Raw genomic sequence first — 19,893 nt, forward strand, 5'->3', positions numbered from 1 at the left:
GCTTGTTATGTCTGCAAGTGGATATTTGGACCTTCTTTGAGGCCTTCGTTGCAAACGGGGTTTCTTCCTTTCATGCTAGACTAAGAAGAGTTCTCAGTAACTTTTTTGTGTTGTGTGTATTCAACTCACAGAGTTGAACCTTGCTTTAGAGAGAGCAGATTTGAAACACTCTGGCTGTGGCATTTTCAGGTGGAGATTTCAAGCGATTTGAGGACAATTGCAGAAACGGAAATATCTTCGTATAATAACCAGACAGAATCATTCTCAGAAAGTGCTTTGTGATGTGTGCGTTCCACTCACAGAGTTTAACCTTTCTTTTCATAGAGGAGTTTGGAAACACACTGTTTGTAAAGTCTGCAAGTGGATATATGGACCTCTTTGAGGCCTTCGTTGGAAACTGGATTTCTTCATTGAATGCTAGACGGAAGAATTCTCAGTAAATTCTTTGTGTTGTGTGCATTCAACTCACAGAGTGGAACGTCCCTTTAGACAGAGCAGATTTGAAACACTCTTTTGCGGAATTTGCAAGTGGAGATTTCTAGCCATTTGATGCCAACAGTAGAAAGGGAAATATCTTCAAATAAAAACCAGACAGAATCATTCTCAGAAAATTCTTTGTGATGTGTGCGTTCAACTCACATAGTTTAACCTTTCTTTTCATAGAGCAGTTTGGAAACACTCTGTTTGTAAAGTCTGCAAGTGGATCTATGGACCGCATTGAGGCCTTCGTTGGAAACGGGATTTCTTCATTTCATGCTAGACAGAAGAATTCTCAGTAACTTCTTTGTGCTGTGTGTATTCAACTCACAGAGTGGAACGTCCCTTTGCACAGAGCAGATTTGAAACACTCTTTGTGGAATTTGCAAGTGGAGATTTCAAGCGATTTGATGCCAACAGTAGAAAAGGAAATATCTTCAAATAAAAACTAGACAGAATCATTTAGAAACTACTTTGTGATGTGTGCCTTCAACTCACAGAGTTTAACCTTTCTTTTCTTAGAGCAGTTTAGAAACACTCTGCTTGTTATGTCTGCAAGTGGATATTTGGACCTCTTTGAGGCCTTCGTTGCAAACGGGGTTTCTTCCTTTAATGCTAGACTAAGAAGAGTTCTCAGTAACTTTTTTGTGTTGTGTGTATTCAACTCACAGAGTTGAACCTTGCTTTAGAGAGAGCAGATTTGAAACACTCTTGCTGTGGCATTTTCAGGTGGAGATTTCAAGCGATTTGAGGACAATTACAGAAAAGGAAATATCTTCGTATAACAACCAGACAGAATCATTCTCAGAAAGTGCTTTGTGATGTGTGCGTTCCACTCACAGAGTTTAACCTTTCTTTTCATAGAGGAGTTTGGAAACACACTGTTTGTAAAGTCTGCAAGTGGATATATGGACCTGTTTGAGGCCTTCGTTGGAAACGGGATTTCTTCATTGAATGCTAGACGGAAGAATTCTCAGTAAATTCTTTGTGTTGTGTGCATTCAACTCACAGAGTGGAACGTCCCTTTTAGACAGAGCAGATTTGAAACACTCTTTTTGTGGAATTTGCAAGTGGAGATTTCTAGCCATTTGATGCCAACAGTAGAAAGGGAAATATCTTCAAATAAAAACCAGACAGAATCATTCTCAGAAAATTCTTTGTGATGTGTGCGTTCAACTCACATAGTTTAACCTTTCTTTTCATAGAGCAGTTTGGAAACACTCTGTTTGTAAAGTCTGCAAGTGGATCTATGGACCGCATTGAGGCCTTCGTTGGAAACGGGATTTCTTCATTTCATGCTAGACAGAAGAATTCTCAGTAACTTCTTTGTGCTGTGTGTATTCAACTCACAGAGTGGAACGTCCCTTTACACAGAGCAGATTTGAAACACTCGTTTTGTGGAGTTTGCAAGTGGAGATTTCAAGCGATTTGATGCCAACAGTAGAAAAGGAAGTATCTTCAAATAAAAACTAGACAGAATCATTCTCAGAAACTACTTTGTGATGTGTGCCTTCAACTAACAGAGTTTAACCTTTCTTTTCTTAGAGCAGCTTAGAAACACTCTGCTTGTTATGTCTGCAAGTTGATATTTGGACCTCTTTGAGGCCTTCGTTGCAAACGGGGTTTCTTCCTTTAATGCTAGACTAAGAAGAGTTCTCAGTAACTTTTTTGTGTTGTGTGTATTCAACTCACAGAGTTGAACCTTGCTTTAGAGAGAGCAGATTTGAAACACTCTTGCTGTGGCATTTTCAGGTGGAGATTTCAAACGATTTGAGGACAATTGCAGAAAAGGAAATATCTTCGTATAATAACCAGACAGAATCATTCTCAGAAAGTGCTTTGTGATGTGTGCGTTCAACTCACAGAGTTTAACCTTTCTTTTCATAGAGGAGTTTGGAAACACACTGTTTGTAAAGTCTGCAAGTGGATATATGGACCTGTTTGAGGCCTTCGTTGGAAACGGGATTTCTTCATTGAATGCTAGACGGAAGAATTCTCAGTAAATTCTTTGTGTTGTGTGCATTCAACTCACAGAGTGGAACGTCCCTTTAGACAGAGCAGATTTGAAACACTCTTTTTGCGGAATTTGCAAGTGGAGATTTCTAGCCATTTGATGCCAACAGTAGAAAGGGAAATATCTTCAAATAAAAACCAGACAGAATCATTCTCAGAAAATTCTTTGTGATGTGTGCGTTCAACTCACATAGTTTAACCTTTCTTTTCATAGAGCAGTTTGGAAACACTCTGTTTGTAAAGTCTGCAAGTGGATATATGGACCGCATTGAGGCCTTCGTTGGAAACGGGATTTCTTCATTTCATGCTAGACAGAAGAATTCTCAGTAACTTCTCTGTGCTGTGTGTATTCAACTCACAGACTGGAACGTCCGTTTGCACAGAGCAGATTTGAAACACTCTTTTTGTGGAATTTGCAAGTGGAGATTTCAAGCGATTTGATGCCAACAGTAGAAAAGGAAATATCTTCAAATAAAAACTAGACAGAACCATTCTCAGAAACTACTTTGTGATGTGTGCCTTCAACTCACAGAGTTTAACCTTTCTTTTCTTAGAGCAGTTTAGAAACACTCTGCTTGTTATGTCTGCAAGTGGATATTTGGACCTCTTTGAGGCCTTCGTTGCAAACGGGGTTTTTTCCTTTCATGCTAGACTAAGAAGAGTTCTCAGTAACTTTTTTGTGTTGTGTGTATTCAACTCACAGAGTTGAACCTTGCTTTAGAGAGAACAGATTTGAAACACTCTTGCTGTGGCATTTTCAGGTGGAGATTTCAAGCGATTTGAGGACAATTGCAGAAAAGGAAATATCTTCGTATAATAACCAGACAGAATCATTCTCAGAAAGTGCTTTGTGATGTGTGCGTTCCACTCACAGAGTTTAACCTTTCTTTTCATAGAGGAGTTTGGAAACACACTGTTTGTAAACTCTGCAAGTGGATATATGGACCTGTTTGAGGCCTTCGTTGGAAACGGGATTTCTTCATTGAATGCTAGACGGAAGAATTCTCAGTAAATTCTTTGTGTTGTGTGCATTCAACTGACAGAGTGGAACGTCCCTTTAGACAGAGCAGATTTGAAACACTCTTTTTGCGGAATTTGCAAGTGGAGATTTCTAGCCATTTGATGCCAACAGTAGAAAGGGAAATATCTTCAAATAAAAACCAGACAGAATCATTCTCAGAAAATTCTTTGTGATGTGTGCGTTCAACTCACATAGTTTAACCTTTCTTTTCATAGAGCAGTTTGGAAACACTCTGTTTGTAAAGTCTGCAAGTGGATATATGGACCGCATTGAGGCCTTCGTTGGAAACGGGATTTCTTCATTTCATGCTAGACAGAAGAATTCTCAGTAACTTCTTTGTGCTGTGTGTATTCAACTCACAGAGTGGAACGTCCCTTTACACAGAGCAGATTTGAAACACTCTTTTTGTGGAGTTTGCAAGTGGAGATTTCAAGCGATTTGATGCCAACAGTAGAAAAGGAAATATCTTCAAATAAAAACTAGACAGAATCATTCTCAGAAACTACTTTGTGATGTGTGCCTTCAACTCACAGAGTTTAACCTTTCTTTTCTTAGAGCAGTTTAGAAACACTCTGCTTGTTATGTCTGCAAGTGGATATTTGGACCTCTTTGAGGCCTTCGTTGCAAACGGGGTTTCTTCCTTTAATGCTAGACTAAGAAGAGTTCTCAGTAACTTTTTTGTGTTGTGTGTATTCAACTCACAGAGTTGAACCTTGCTTTAGAGAGAGCAGATTTGAAACACTCTTGCTGTGGCATTTTCAGGTGGAGATTTCAAGCGATTTGAGGACAATTACAGAAAAGGAAATATCTTCGTATAACAACCAGACAGAATCATTCTCAGAAAGTGCTTTGTGATGTGTGCGTTCCACTCACAGAGTTTAACCTTTCTTTTCATAGAGGAGTTTGGAAACACACTGTTTGTAAACTCTGCAAGTGGATATATGGACCTGTTTGAGGCCTTCGTTGGAAACGGGATTTCTTCATTGAATGCTAGACGGAAGAATTCTCAGTAAATTCTTTGTGTTGTGTGCATTCAACTCACAGAGTGGAACGTCCCTTTAGACAGAGCAGATTTGAAACACTCTTTTTGCGGAATTTGCAAGTGGAGATTTCTAGCCATTTGATGCCAACAGTAGAAAGGGAAATATCTTCAAATAAAAACCAGACAGAATCATTCTCAGAAAATTCTTTGTGATGTGTGCGTTCAACTCACATAGTTTAACCTTTCTTTTCATAGAGCAGTTTGGAAACACTCTGTTTGTAAAGTCTGCAAGTGGATATATGGACCGCATTGAGGCCTTCGTTGGAAACGGGATTTCTTCATTTCATGCTAGACAGAAGAATTCTCAGTAACTTCTTTGTGCTGTGTGTGTTCAACTCACAGAGTGGAACGTCCCTTTGCACAGAGCAGATTTGAAACACTCTTTTTGTGGAGTTTGCAAGTGGAGATTTCAAGCGATTTGATGCCAACAGTAGAAAAGGAAATATCTTCAAATAAAAACTAGACAGAATCATTCTCAGAAACTACTTTGTGATGTGTGCCTTCAACTCACAGAGTTTAACCTTTCTTTTCTTAGAGCAGTTTAGAAACACTCTGCTTGTTATGTCTGCAAGTGGATATTTGGACCTCTTTGAGGCCTTCGTTGCAAACGGGGTTTCTTCCTTTCATGCTAGACTAAGAAGAGTTCTCAGTAACTTTTTTGTGTTGTGTGTATTCAACTCACAGAGTTGAACCTTGCTTTAGAGAGAGCAGATTAGAAACACTCTTGCTGTGGCATTTTCAGGTGGAGATTTCAAGCGATTTGAGGACAATTGCAGAAAAGGAAATATCTTCGGTATAACAACCAGACAGAATCATTCTCAGAAAGTGCTTTGTGATGTGTGCGTTCAACTCACAGAGTTTAACCTTTCTTTTCATAGAGGAGTTTGGAAACACACTGTTTGTAAAGTCTGCAATTGGATATATGGACCTGTTTGAGGCCTTCGTTGGAAACGGGATTTCTTCATTGACTGCTAGACGGAAGAATTCTCAGTAAATTCTTTATGTTGTGTGCATTCAACTCACAGAGTGGAACGTCCCTTTAGACAGAGCAGATTTGAAACACTCTTTTTGCGGAATTTGCAAGTGGAGATTTCTAGCCATTTGATGCCAACAGTAGAAAGGGAAATATCTTCAAATAAAAACCAGACAGAATCATTCTCAGAAAATTCTTTGTGATGTGTGCATTCAACTCACATAGTTTAACCTTTCTTTTCATAGAGCAGTTTGGAAACACTCTGTTTGTAAAGTCTGCAAGTGGATATATGGACCGCATTGAGGCCTTCGTTGGAAACGGGATTTCTTCATTTCATGCTAGACAGAAGAATTCTCAGTAACTTCTTTGTGCTGTGTGTATTCAACTCACAGAGTGGAACGTCCCTTTACACAGAGCAGATTTGAAACACTCTTTTTGTGGAGTTTGCAAGTGGAGATTTCAAGCGATTTGATGCCAACAGTAGAAAAGGAAATATCTTCAAATAAAAACTAGACAGAATCATTCTCAGAAACTACTTTGTGATGTGTGCCTTCAACTCACAGAGTTTAACCTTTCTTTTCATAGAGCAGTTTTGAAACACTCTGCTTGTTATGTCTGCAAGTGGATATTTGGACCTCTTTGAGGCCTTCGTTGCAAACGGGGTTTCTTCCTTTCATGCTACACTAAGAAGAGTTCTCAGTAACTTTTTTGTGTTGTGTGTATTCAACTCACAGAGTTGAACCTTGCTTTAGAGAGAGCAGATTTGAAACACTCTTGCTGTGGCATTTTCAGGTGGAGATTTCAAACGATTTGAGGACAATTGCAGAAAAGGAAATATCTTCGTATAATAACCAGACAGAATCATTCTCAGAAAGTGCTTTGTGATGTGTGCGTTCAACTCACAGAGTTTAACCTTTCTTTTCATAGAGGAGTTTGGAAACACACAGTTTGTAAAGTCTGCAATTGGATATATGGACCTGTTTGAGGCCTTCGTTGGAAACGGGATTTCTTCATTGAATGCTAGACGGAAGAATTCTCAGTAAATTCTTTGTGTGGTGTGCATTCAACTCACAGAGTGGAACGTCCCTTTAGACAGAGCAGATTTGAAACACTCTTTTTGCGGAATTTGCAAGTGGAGATTTCTAGCCATTTGATGCCAACAGTAGAAAGGGAAATATCTTCAAATAAAAACCAGACAGAATCATTCTCAGAAAATTCTTTGTGATGTGTGCGTTCAACTCACATAGTTTAACCTTTCTTTTCATAGAGCAGTTTGGAAACACTCTGTAAAGTCTGCAAGTGGATATATGGACCGCATTGAGGCCTTCGTTGGAAACGGGATTTCTTCATTTCATGCTAGACAGAAGAATTCTCAGTAACTTCTTTGTGCTGTGTGTATTCAACTCACAGAGTGGAACGTCCCTTTGCACAGAGCAGATTTGAAACACTCTTTTTGTGGAGTTTGCAAGTGGAGATTTCAAGCGATTTGATGCCAACAGTAGAAAAGGAAATATCTTCAAATAAAAACTAGACAGAATCATTCTCAGAAACTACTTTGTGATGTGTGCCTTCAACTCACAGAGTTTAACCTTTCTTTTCTTAGAGCAGTTTAGAAACACTCTGCTTGTTATGTCTGCAAGTGGATATTTGGACCTCTTTGAGGCCTTCGTTGCAAACGGGGTTTCTTCCTTTCATGCTAGACTAAGAAGAGTTCTCAGTAACTTTTTTGTGTTGTGTGTATTCAACTCACAGAGTTGAACCTTGCTTTAGAGAGAGCAGATTTGAAACACTCTTGCTGTGGCATTTTCAGGTGGAGATTTCAAGCGATTTGAGGACAATTGCAGAAAAGGAAATATCTTCGTATAATAACCAGACAGAATCATTCTCAGAAAGTGCTTTGTGATGTGTGCGTTCAACTCACAGAGTTTAACCTTTCTTTTCATAGAGGAGTTTGGAAACACACTGTTTGTAAAGTCTGCAATTGGATATATGGACCTGTTTGAGGCCTCCGTTGGAAACGGGATTTCTTCATTGAATGCTAGACGGAAGAATTCTCAGTAAATTCTTTGTGTTGTGTGCATTCAACTCACAGAGTGGAACGTCCCTTTAGACAGAGCAGATTTGAAACACTCTTTTTGCGGAATTTGCAAGTGGAGATTTCTAGCCATTTGATGCCAACAGTAGAAAGGGAAATATCTTCAAATAAAAACCAGACAGAATCATTCTCAGAAAATTCTTTGTGATGTGTGCGTTCAACTCACATAGTTTAACCTTTCTTTTCATAGAGCAGTTTGGAAACACTCTGTTTGTAAAGTCTGCAAGTGGATATATGGACCGCATTGAGGCCTTCGTTGGAAACGGGATTTCTTCATTTCATGCTAGACAGAAGAATTCTCAGTAACTTCTTTGTGCTGTGTGTATTCAACTCACAGAGTGGAACGTCCCTTTGCACAGAGCAGATTTGAAACACTCTTTTTGTGGAATTTACAAGTGGAGATTGCAAGCGATTTGATGCCAACAGTAGAAAAGGAAATATCTTCAAATAAAAACTAGACAGAATCATTCTCAGAAACTACTTTGTGATGTGTGCGTTCAACTCACAGAGTTTAACCTTTCTTTTCTTAGAGCAGTTTAGAAACACTCTGCTTGTTATGTCTGCAAGTGGATATTTGGACCTCTTTGAGGCCTTCGTTGCAAACGGGGTTTCTTCCTTTCATGCTAGACTAAGAAGAGTTCTCAGTAACTTTTTTGTGTTGTGTGTATTCAACTCACAGAGTTGAACCTTGCTTTAGAGAGAGCAGATTTGAAACACTCTTGCTGTGGCATTTTCAGGTGGAGATTTCAAGCGATTTGAGGACAATTGCAGAAAAGGAAATATCTTCGTATAATAACCAGACAGAATCATTCTCAGAAAGTGCTTTGTGATGTGTGCGTTCCACTCACAGAGTTTAACCTTTCTTTTCATAGAGGAGTTTGGAAACACACTGTTTGTAAACTCTGCAAGTGGATATATGGACCTGTTTGAGGCCTTCGTTGGAAACGGGATTTCTTCATTGAATGCTAGACGGAAGAATTCTCAGTAAATTCTTTGTGTTGTGTGCATTCAACTCACAGAGTGGAACGTCCCTTTAGACAGAGCAGATTTGAAACACTCTTTTTGCGGAATTTGCAAGTGGAGATTTCTAGCCATTTGATGCCAACAGTAGAAAGGGAAATATCTTCAAATAAAAACCAGACAGAATCATTCTCAGAAAATTCTTTGTGATGTGTGCGTTCAACTCACATAGTTTAACCTTTCTTTTCATAGAGCAGTTTGGAAACACTCTGTTTGTAAAGTCTGCAAGTGGATATATGGACCGCATTGAGGCCTTCGTTGGAAACGGGATTTCTTCATTTCATGCTAGACAGAAGAATTCTCAGTAACTTCTTTGTGCTGTGTGTATTCAACTCACAGAGTGGAACGTTCTTTTACACAGAACAGATTTGAAACACTCTTTTTGTGGAATTTGCAAGTGGAGATTTCAAGCGATTTGATGCCAACAGTAGAAAAGGAAATATCTTCAAATAAAAACTAGACAGAATCATTCTCAGAAACTACTTTGTGATGTGTGCCTTCAACTCACAGAGTTTAACCTTTCTTTTCTTAGAGCAGTTTAGAAACACTCTGCTTGTTATGTCTGCAAGTGGATATTTGGACCTCTTTGAGGCCTTCGTTGCAAACGGGGTTTCTTCCTTTCATGCTAGACTAAGAAGAGTTCTCAGTAACTTTTTTGTGTTGTGTGTATTCAACTCACAGAGTTGAACCTTGCTTTAGAGAGAGCAGATTTGAAACACTCTTGCTGTGGCATTTTCAGGTGGAGATTTCAAGCGATTTGAGGACAATTGCAGAAAAGGAAATATCTTCGTATAACAACCAGACAGAATCATTCTCAGAAAGTGCTTTGTGATGTGTGCGTTCAACTCACAGAGTTTAACCTTTCTTTTCATAGAGGAGTTTGGAAACACACTGTTTGTAAAGTCTGCAATTGGATATATGGACCTGTTTGAGGCCTTCGTTGGAAACGGGATTTCTTTCATTGAATGCTAGACGGAAGGATTCTCAGTAAATTCTTTGTGTTGTGTGCATTCAACTCACAGAATGGAACGTCCCTTTAGACAGAGCAGATTTGAAACACTCTTTTTGCGGAATTTGCAAGTGGAGATTTCTAGCCATTTGATGCCAACAGTAGAAAGGGAAATATCTTCAAATAAAAACCAGACAGAATCATTCTCAGAAAATTCTTTGTGATGTGTGCGTTCAACTCACATAGTTTAACCTTTCTTTTCATAGAGCAGTTTGGAAACACTCTGTTTGTGATGTCTGCAAGTGGATATATAGACCGCATTGAGGCCTTCGTTGGAAACGGGATTTCTTCATTTCATGCTAGACAGAAGAATTCTCAGTAACTTCTTTGTGCTGTGTGTATTCAACTCACAGAGTGGAACGTCCCTTTGCACAGAGCAGATTTGAAACACTCTTTTTGTGGAGTTTGCAAGTGGATATTTCAAGCGATTTGATGCCAACAGTAGAAAAGGAAATATCTTCAAATAAAAACTAGACAGAATCATTCTCAGAAACTACTTTGTGATGTGTGCCTTCAACTCACAGAGTTTAACCTTTCTTTTCTTAGAGCAGTTTAGAAACACTCTGCTTGTTATGTCTGCAAGTGGATATTTGGACCTCTTTGAGGCCTTCGTTGCAAACGGGGTTTCTTCCTTTCATGCTAGACTAAGAAGAGTTCTCAGTAACTTTTTTGTGTTGTGTGTATTCAACTCACAGAGTTGAACCTTGCTTTAGAGAGAGCAGATTTGAAACACTCTTGCTGTGGCATTTTCAGGTGGAGATTTCAAGCGATTTGAGGACAATTGCAGAAAAGGAAATATCTTCGTATAATAACCAGACAGAATCATTCTCAGAAAGTGCTTTGTGATGTGTGCGTTCAACTCACAGAGTTTAACCTTTCTTTTCATAGAGGAGTTTGGAAACACACTGTTTGTAAAGTCTGCAATTGGATATATGGACCTGTTTGAGGCCTTCTTTGGAAACGGGATTTCTTCATTGAATGCTAGACGGAAGAATTCTCAGTAAATTCTTTGTGTTGTGTGCATTCAACTGACAGAGTGGAACGTCCCTTTAGACAGAGCAGATTTGAAACACTCTTTTTGCGGAATTTGCAAGTGGAGATTTCTAGCCATTTGATGCCAACAGTAGAAAGGGAAATATCTTCAAATAAAAACCAGACAGAATCATTCTCAGAAAATTCTTTGTGATGTGTGCGTTCAACTCACATAGTTTAACCTTTCTTTTCATAGAGCAGTTTGGAAACACTCTGTTTGTAAAGTCTGCAAGTGGATATATGGACCGCATTGAGGCCTTCGTTGGAAACGGGATTTCTTCATTTCATGCTAGACAGAAGAATTCTCAGTAACTTCTTTGTGCTGTGTGTATTCAACTCACAGAGTGGAACGTCCCTTTGCACAGAGCAGATTTGAAACACTCTTTTTGTGGAATTTGCAAGTGGAGATTTCAAGCGATTTGATGCCAACAGTAGAAAAGGAAATATCTTCAAATAAAAACTAGACAGAATCATTCTCAGAAACTACTTTGTGATGTGTGCCTTCAACTCACAGAGTTTAACCTTTCTTTTCTTAGAGCAGTTTAGAAACACTCTGCTTGTTATGTCTGCAAGTGGATATTTGGACCTCTTTGAGGCCTTCGTTGCAAACGGGGTTTCTTCCTTTCATGCTAGACTAAGAAGAGTTCTCAGTAACTTTTTTGTGTTGTGTGTATTCAACTCACAGAGTTGAACCTTGCTTTAGAGAGAGCAGATTTGAAACACTCTTGCTGTGGCATTTTCAGGTGGAGATTTCAAGCGATTTGAGGACAATTGCAGAAAAGGAAATATCTTCGTATAATAACCAGACAAAATCATTCTCAGAAAGTGCTTTGTGATGTGTGCGTTCCACTCACAGAGTTTAACCTTTCTTTTCATAGAGGAGTTTGGAAACACACTGTTTGTAAAGTCTGCAAGTGGATATATGGACCTCTTTGAGGCCTTCGTTGGAAACGGGATTTCTTCATTGAATGCTAGACGGAAGAATTCTCAGTAAATTCTTTGTGTTGTGTGCATTCAACTCACAGAGTGGAACGTCCCTTTAGACAGAGCAGATTTGAAACACTCTTTTTGCGGAATTTGCAAGTGGAGATTTCTAGCCATTTGATGCCAACAGTAGAAAGGGAAATATTTTCAAATAAAAACCAGACAGAATCATTCTCAGAAAATTCTTTGTGATGTGTGCGTTCAACTCACATAGTTTAACCTTTCTTTTCATAGAGCAGTTTGGAAACACTCTGTTTGTAAAGTCTGCAAGTGGATATATGGACCGCATTGAGGCCTTCGTTGGAAACGGGATTTCTTCATTTCATGCTAGACAGAAGAATTCTCAGTAACTTCTTTGTGCTGTGTGTATTCAACTCACAGAGTGGAACGTCCCTTTGCACAGAGCAGATTTGAAACACTCTTTTTGTGGAATTTGCAAGTGGAGATTTCAAGCGATTTGATGCCAACAGTAGAAAAGGAAATATCTTCAAATAAAAACTAGACAGAATCATTCTCAGAAACTACTTTGTGATGTGTGCCTTCAACTCACAGAGTTTAACCTTTCTTTTCTTAGAGCAGTTTAGAAACACTCTGCTTGTTATGTCTGCAAGTGGATATTTGGACCTCTTTGAGGCCTTCGTTGCAAACGGGGTTTCTTCCTTTCATGCTAGACTAAGAAGAGTTCTCAGTAACTTTTTTGTGTTGTGTGTATTCAACTCACAGAGTTGAACCTTGCTTTAGAGAGAGCAGATTTGAAACACTCTTGCTGTGGCATTTTCAGGTGGAGATTTCAAGCGATTTGAGGACAATTGCAGAAAAGGAAATATCTTCGTATAATAACCAGACAGAATCATTCTCAGAAAGTGCTTTGTGATGTGTGCGTTCAACTCACAGAGTTTAACCTTTCTTTTCATAGAGGAGTTTGGAAACACACTGTTTGTAAAGTCTGCAATTGGATATATGGACCTGTTTGAGGCCTTCGTTGGAAACGGGATTTCTTCATTGAATGCTAGACGGAAGAATTCTCAGTAAATTCTTCGTGTTGTGTGCATTCAACTCACAGAGTGGAACGTCCCTTTAGACAGAGCAGATTTGAAACACTCTTTTTGCGGAATTTGCAAGTGGAGATTTCTAGCCATTTGATGCCAATAGTAGAAAGGGAAATATCTTCAAATAAAAACCAGACAGAATCATTCTCAGAAAATTCTTTGTGATGTGTGCGTTCAACTCACATAGTTTAACCTTTCTTTTCATAGAGCAGTTTGGAAACACTCTGTTTGTAAAGTCTGCAAGTGGATATATGGACCGCATTGAGGCCTTCGTTGGAAACGGGATTTCTTCATTTCATGCTAGACAGAAGAATTCTCAGCAACTTCTTTGTGCTGTGTGTATTCAACTCACAGAGTGGAACGTCCCTTTACACAGAGCAGATTTGAAACACTCTTTTTGTGGAGTTTGCAAGTGAAGATTTCAAGCGATTTGATGCCAACAGTAGAAAAGGAAATATCTTCAAATAAAAACTAGACAGAATCATTCTCAGAAACTACTTTGTGATGTGTGCCTTCAACTCACAGAGTTTAACCTTTCTTTTCTTAGAGCAGTTTAGAAACACTCTGCTTGTTATGTCTGCAAGTGGATATTTGGACCTCTTTGAGGCCTTCGTTGCAAACGGGGTTTCTTCCTTTCATGCTAGACTAAGGAGAGTTCTCAGTAACTTTTTTGTGTTGTGTGTATTCAACTCACAGAGTTGAACCTTGCTTTAGAGAGAGCAGATTTGAAACACTCTTGCTGTGGCATTTTCAGGTGGAGATTTCAAGCGATTTGAGGACAACTGCAGAAAAGGAAATATCTTCGTATAATAACCAGACAGAATCATTCTCAGAAAGTGCTTTGTGATGTGTGCGTTCAACTCACAGAGTTTAACCTTTCTTTTCATAGAGGAGTTTGGTAACACACTGTTTGTAAAGTCTGCAAGTGGATATATGGACCTGTTTGAGGCCTTCGTTGGAAACGGGATTTCTTCATTGAATGCTAGACGGAAGAATTCTCAGTAAATTCTTTGTGTTGTGTGCATTCAACTCACAGAGTGGAACGTCCCTTTAGACAGAGCAGATTTGAAACACTCTTTTTGCGGAATTTGCAAGTGGAGATTTCTAGCCATTTGATGCCAACAGTAGAAAGGGAAATATCTTCAAATAAAAACCAGACAGAATCATTCTCAGAAAATTCTTTGTGATGTGTGCGTTCAACTCACATAGTTTAACCTTTCTTTTCATAGAGCAGTTTGGAAACACTCTGTTTGTAAAGTCTGCAAGTGGATATATGGACCGCATTGAGGCCTTCGTTGGAAACGGGATTTCTTCATTTCATGCGAGACAGAAGAATTCTCAGTAACTTCTTTGTGCTGTGTGTATTCAACTCACAGAGTGGAACGTCCCTTTACACAGAGCAGATTTGAAACACTCTTTTTGTGGAGTTTGCAAGTGGAGATTTCAAGCGATTTGATGCCAGCAGTAGAAAAGGAAATATCTTCAAATAAAAACTAGACAGAATCATTCTCAGAAACTACTTTGTGATGTGTGCCTTCAACTCACAGAGTTTAACCTTTCTTTTCTTAGAGCAGTTTAGAAACACTCTGCTTGTTATGTCTGCAAGTGGATATTTGGACCTCTTTGAGGCCTTCTTTGCAAACGGGGTTTCTTCCTTTCATGCTAGACTAAGAAGAGTCCTCAGTAACTTTTTTGTGTTGTGTGTATTCAACTCACAGAGTTGAACCTTGCTTTAGAGAGAGCAGATTTGAAACACTCTTGCTGTGGCATTTTCAGGTGGAGATTTCAAGCGATTTGAGGATAATTGCAGAAAAGGAAATATCTTCGTATAATAACCAGACAGAATCATTCTCAGAAAGTGCTTTGTGATGTGTGCGTTCAACTCACAGAGTTTAACCTTTCTTTTCATAGAGGAGTTTGGAAACACACTGTTTGTAAAGTCTGCAAGTGGATATATGGACCTGTTTGAGGCCTTCGTTGGAAACGGGATTTCTTCATTGAATGCTAGACGGAAGAATTCTCAGTAAATTCTGTGTGTTGTGTGCATTCAACTCACAGAGTGGAACGTCCCTTTAGACAGAGCAGATTTGAAACACTCTTTTTGCGGAATTTGCAAGTGGAGATTTCTAGCCATTTGATGCCAACAGTAGAAAGGGAAATATCTTCAAATAAAAACCAGACAGAATCATTCTCAGAAAATTCTTTGTGATGTGTGCGTTCAACTCACATAGTTTAACCTTTCTTTTCATAGAGCAGTTTGGAAACACTCTGTTTGTAAAGTCTGCAAGTGGATATATGGACCGCATTGAGGCCTTCGTTGGAAACGGGATTTCTTCATTTCATGCTAGCCAGAAGAATTCTCAGTAACTTCTTTGTGCTGTGTGTATTCAACTCACGGAGTGGAACGTCCCTTTACACAGAGCAGATTTGAAAGACTCTTTTTGTGGAGTTTGCAAGTGGAGATTTCAAGCGATTTGATGCCAACAGTGGAAAAGGAAATATCTTCAAATAAAAACTAGACAGAATCATTCTCAGAAACTACTTTGTGATGTGTGCCTTCAACTCACAGAGTTTAACCTTTCTTTTCTTAGAGCAGTTTAGAAACACTCTGCTTGTTATGTCTGCAAGTGGATATTTGGACCTCTTTGAGGCCTTCGTTGCAAACGGGATTTCTTCCTTTCATGCTAGACTAAGAAGAGTTCTCAGTAACTTTTTTGTGTTGTGTGTATTCAACTCACAGAGTTGAACCTTGCTTTAGAGAGAGCAGATTTGAAACACTCTTGCTGTGGCATTTTCAGGTGGAGATTTCAAGCGTTTTGAGGACAATTGCAGAAAAGGAAATATCTTCGTATAATAACCAGACAGAATCATTCTCAGAAAGTGCTTTGTGATGTGCGCGTTCAACTCACAGAGTTTAACCTTTCTTTCCATAGAGGAGTTTGGAAACACACTGTTTGTAAAGTCTGCAAGTGGATATATGGACCTGTTTGAGGCCTTCGTTGGAAACGGGATTTCTTCATTGAATGCTAGACGGAAGAATTCTCAGTAAATTCTTTGTGTTGTGTGCATTCAACTCACAGAGTGGAACGTCCCTTTAGACAGAGCAGATTTGAAACACTCTTTTTGCGGAATTTGCAAGTGGAGATTTCTAGCCATTTGATGCCAACAGTAGAAAGGGAAATATCTTCAAATAAAAACCAGACAGAATCATTCTCAGAAAATTCTTTGTGATGTGTGCGTTCAACTCACATAGTTTAACCTTTCTTTTCATAGAGCAGTTTGGAAACACTCTGTTTGTAAAGTCTGCAAGTGGATATATGGACCGCATTGAGGCCTTCGTTGGAAACGGGATTTCTTCATTTCATGCTAGACAGAAGAATTCTCAGTAACTTCTTTGTGCTGTGTGTATTCAACTCACAGAGTGGAACGTCCCTTTACACAGAGCAGATTTGAAACACTCTTTTTGTGGAGTTTGCAAGTGGAGATTTCAAGCGATTTGATGCCAACAGTAGAAAAGGAAATATCTTCAAATAAAAACTAGACAGAATCATTCTCAGAAACTACTTTGTGATGTGTGCCTTCAACTCACAGAGTTTAACCTTTCTTTTCTTAGAGCAGTTTAGAAACACTCTGCTTGTTATGTCTGCAAGTGGATATTTGGACCTCTTTGAGGCCTTCGTTGCAAACGGGGTTTCTTCCTTTCATGCTAGACTAAGAAGAGTTCTCAGTAACTTTTTTGTGTTGTGTGTATTCAACTCACAGAGTTGAACCTTGCTTTAGAGAGAGCAGATTTGAAACACTCTTGCTGTGGCATTTTCAGGTGGAGATTTCAAGCGATTTGAGGACAATTGCAGAAAAGGAAATATCTTCGTATAATAACCAGACAGAATCATTCTCAGAAAGTGCTTTGTGATGTGTGCGTTCAACTCACAGAGTTTAACCTTTCTTTTCATAGAGGAGTTTGGAAACACACTGTTTGTAAAGTCTGCAAGTGGATATATGGACCTGTTTGAGGCCTTCGTTGGAAACGGGATTTCTTCATTGAATGCTAGACGGAAGAATTCTCAGTAAATTCTTTGTGTTGTGTGCATTCAACTGACAGAGTGGAACGTCCCTTTAGACAGAGCAGATTTGAAACACTCTTTTTGCGGAATTTGCAAGTGGAGATTTCTAGCCATTTGATGCCAACAGTAGAAAGGGAAATATCTTCAAATAAAAACCAGACAGAATCATTCTCAGAAAATTCTTTGTGATGTGTGCGTTCAACTCACATAGTTTAACCTTTCTTTTCATAGAGCAGTTTGGAAACACTCTGTTTGTAAAGTCTGCAAGTGGATCTATGGACCGCATTGAGGCCTTCGTTGGAAACGGGATTTCTTCATTTCATGCTAGACAGAAGAATTCTCAGTAACTTCTTTGTGCTGTGTGTATTCAACTCACAGAGTGGAACGTCCCTTTACACAGAGCAGATTTGAAACACTCTTTTTGTGGAGTTTGCAAGTGGAGATTTCAAGCGATTTGATGCCAACAGTAGAAAAGGAAATATCTTCAAATAAAAACTAGACAGAATCATTCTCAGAAACTACTTTGTGATGTGTGCCTTCAACTCACAGAGTTTAACCTTTCTTTTCTTAGAGCAGTTTAGAAACACTCTGCTTGTTATGTCTGCAAGTGGATATTTGGACCTCTTTGAGGCCTTCGTTGCAAACGGGGTTTCTTCCTTTCATGCTAGACTAAGAAGAGTTCTCAGTAACATTTTTGTGTTGTGTGTATTCAACTCACAGAGTTGAACCTTGCTTTAGAGAGAGCAGATTTGAAACACTCTTGCTGTGGCATTTTCAGGTGGAGATTTCAAGCGATTTGAGGACAATTGCAGAAAAGGAAATATCTTCGTATAATAACCAGACAGAATCATTCTCAGAAAGTGCTTTGTGATGTGTGCGTTCCACTCACAGAGTTTAACCTTTCTTTTCATAGAGGAGTTTGGAAACACACTGTTTGTAAACTCTGCAAGTGGATATATGGACCTGTTTGAGGCCTTCGTTGGAAACGGGATTTCTTCATTGAATGCTAGACGGAAGAATTCTCAGTAAATTCTTTGTGTTGTGTGCATTCAACTCACAGAGTGGAACGTCCCTTTAGACAGAGCAGATTTGAAACACTCTTTTTGCGGAATTTGCAAGTGGAGATTTCTAGCCATTTGATGCCAACAGTAGAAAGGGAAATATCTTCAAATAAAAACCAGACAGAATCATTCTCAGAAAATTCTTTGTGATGTGTGCGTTCAACTCACATAGTTTAACCTTTCTTTTCATAGAGCAGTTTGGAAACACTCTGTTTGTAAAGTCTGCAAGTGGATATATGGACCGCATTGAGGCCTTCGTTGGAAACGGGATTTCTTCATTTCATGCTAGACAGAAGAATTCTCAGTAACTTCTTTGTGCTGTGTGTATTCAACTCACAGAGTGGAACGTCCCTTTGCACAGAGCAGATTTGAAACACTCTTTTTGTGGAGTTTGCAAGTGGAGATTTCAAGCGATTTGATGCCAACAGTAGAAAAGGAAATATCTTCAAATAAAAACTAAAAACTAGACAGAATCATTCTCAGAAACTACTTTGTGATGTGTGCCTTCAACTCACAGAGTTTAACCTTTCTTTTCTTAGAGCAGTTTAGAAACACTCTGCTTGTTATGTCTGCAAGTGGATATTTGGACCTCTTTGAGGCCTTCGTTGCAAACGGGGTTTCTTCCTTTCATGCTAGACTAAGAAGAGTTCTCAGTAACTTTTTTGTGTTGTGTGTATTCAACTCACAGAGTTGAACCTTGCTTTAGAGAGAGCAGATTTGAAACACTCTTGCTGTGGCATTTTCAGGTGGAGATTTCAAGCGATTTGAGGACAATTGCAGAAAAGGAAATATCTTCGTATAATAACCAGACAGAATCATTCTCAGAAAGTGCTTTGTGATGTGTGCGTTCAACTCACAGAGTTTAACCTTTCTTTTCATAGAGGAGTTTGGAAACACACTGTTTGTAAAGTCTGCAATTGGATATATGGACCTGTTTGAGGCCTTCGTTGGAAACGGGATTTCTTCATTGAATGCTAGACGGAAGAATTCTCAGTAAATTCTTTGTGTTGTGTGCATTCAACTCACAGAGTGGAACGTCCCTTTAGACAGAGCAGATTTGAAACACTCTTTTTGCGGAATTTGCAAGTGGAGATTTCTAGCCATTTGATGCCAACAGTAGAAAGGGAAATATCTTCAAATAAAAACCAGACAGAATCATTCTCAGAAAATTCTTTGTGATGTGTGCGTTCAACTCACATAGTTTAACCTTTCTTTTCATAGAGCAGTTTGGAAACACTCTGTTTGTAAAGTCTGCAAGTGGATATATGGACCGCATTGAGGCCTTCGTTGGAAACGGGATTTCTTCATTTCATGCTAGACAGAAGAATTCTCAGTAACTTCTTTGTGCTGTGTGTATTCAACTCACAGAGTGGAACGTCCCTTTGCACAGAGCAGATTTGAAACACTCTTTTTGTGGAGTTTGCAAGTGGAGATTTCAAGCGATTTGATGCCAACAGTAGAAAAGGAAATATCTTCAAATAAAAACTAGACAGAATCATTCTCAGAAACTACTTTGTGATGTGTGCCTTCAACTCACAGAGTTTAACCTTTCTTTTCTTAGAGCAGTTTAGAAACACTCTGCTTGTTATGTCTGCAAGTGGATATTTGGACCTCTTTGAGGCCTTCGTTGCAAACGGGGTTTCTTCCTTTAATGCTAGACTAAGAAGAGTTCTCAGTAACTTTTTTGTGTTGTGTGTATTCAACTCACAGAGTTGAACCTTGCTTTAGGGAGAGCAGATTTGAAACACTCTTGCTGTGGCATTTTCAGGTGGAGATTTCAAGCGTTTTGAGGACAATTGCAGAAAAGGAAATATCTTCGTATAATAACCAGACAGAATCATTCTCAGAAAGTGCTTTGTGATGTGTGCGTTCAACTCACAGAGTTTAACCTTTCTTTTCATAGAGGAGTTTGGAAACACACTGTTTGTAAAGTCTGCAATTGGATATATGGACCTGTTTGAGGCCTTCGTTGGAAACGGGATTTCTTCATTGAATGCTAGACGGAAGAATTCTCAGTAAATTCTTTGTGTGGTGTGCATTCAACTCACAGAGT

The 19,893-nt window shown here is 39.0% G+C and overlaps 1 annotated feature.

The window, feature by feature from the left end:
• Positions 1 to 19,893: part of a centromere (Linear centromere model derived predominantly from reads generated in PMID: 17803354. This region does not represent an actual centromere sequence, as long-range ordering of repeats and unmapped WGS contigs is not provided by the model. For details of model production, see http://arxiv.org/abs/1307.0035.) that runs on past both edges of the window.

This window comes from Homo sapiens, chromosome 7, assembly GCF_000001405.40.
Source record: "Homo sapiens chromosome 7, GRCh38.p14 Primary Assembly".
NCBI classification, from domain to species: domain Eukaryota; kingdom Metazoa; phylum Chordata; class Mammalia; order Primates; family Hominidae; genus Homo; species Homo sapiens.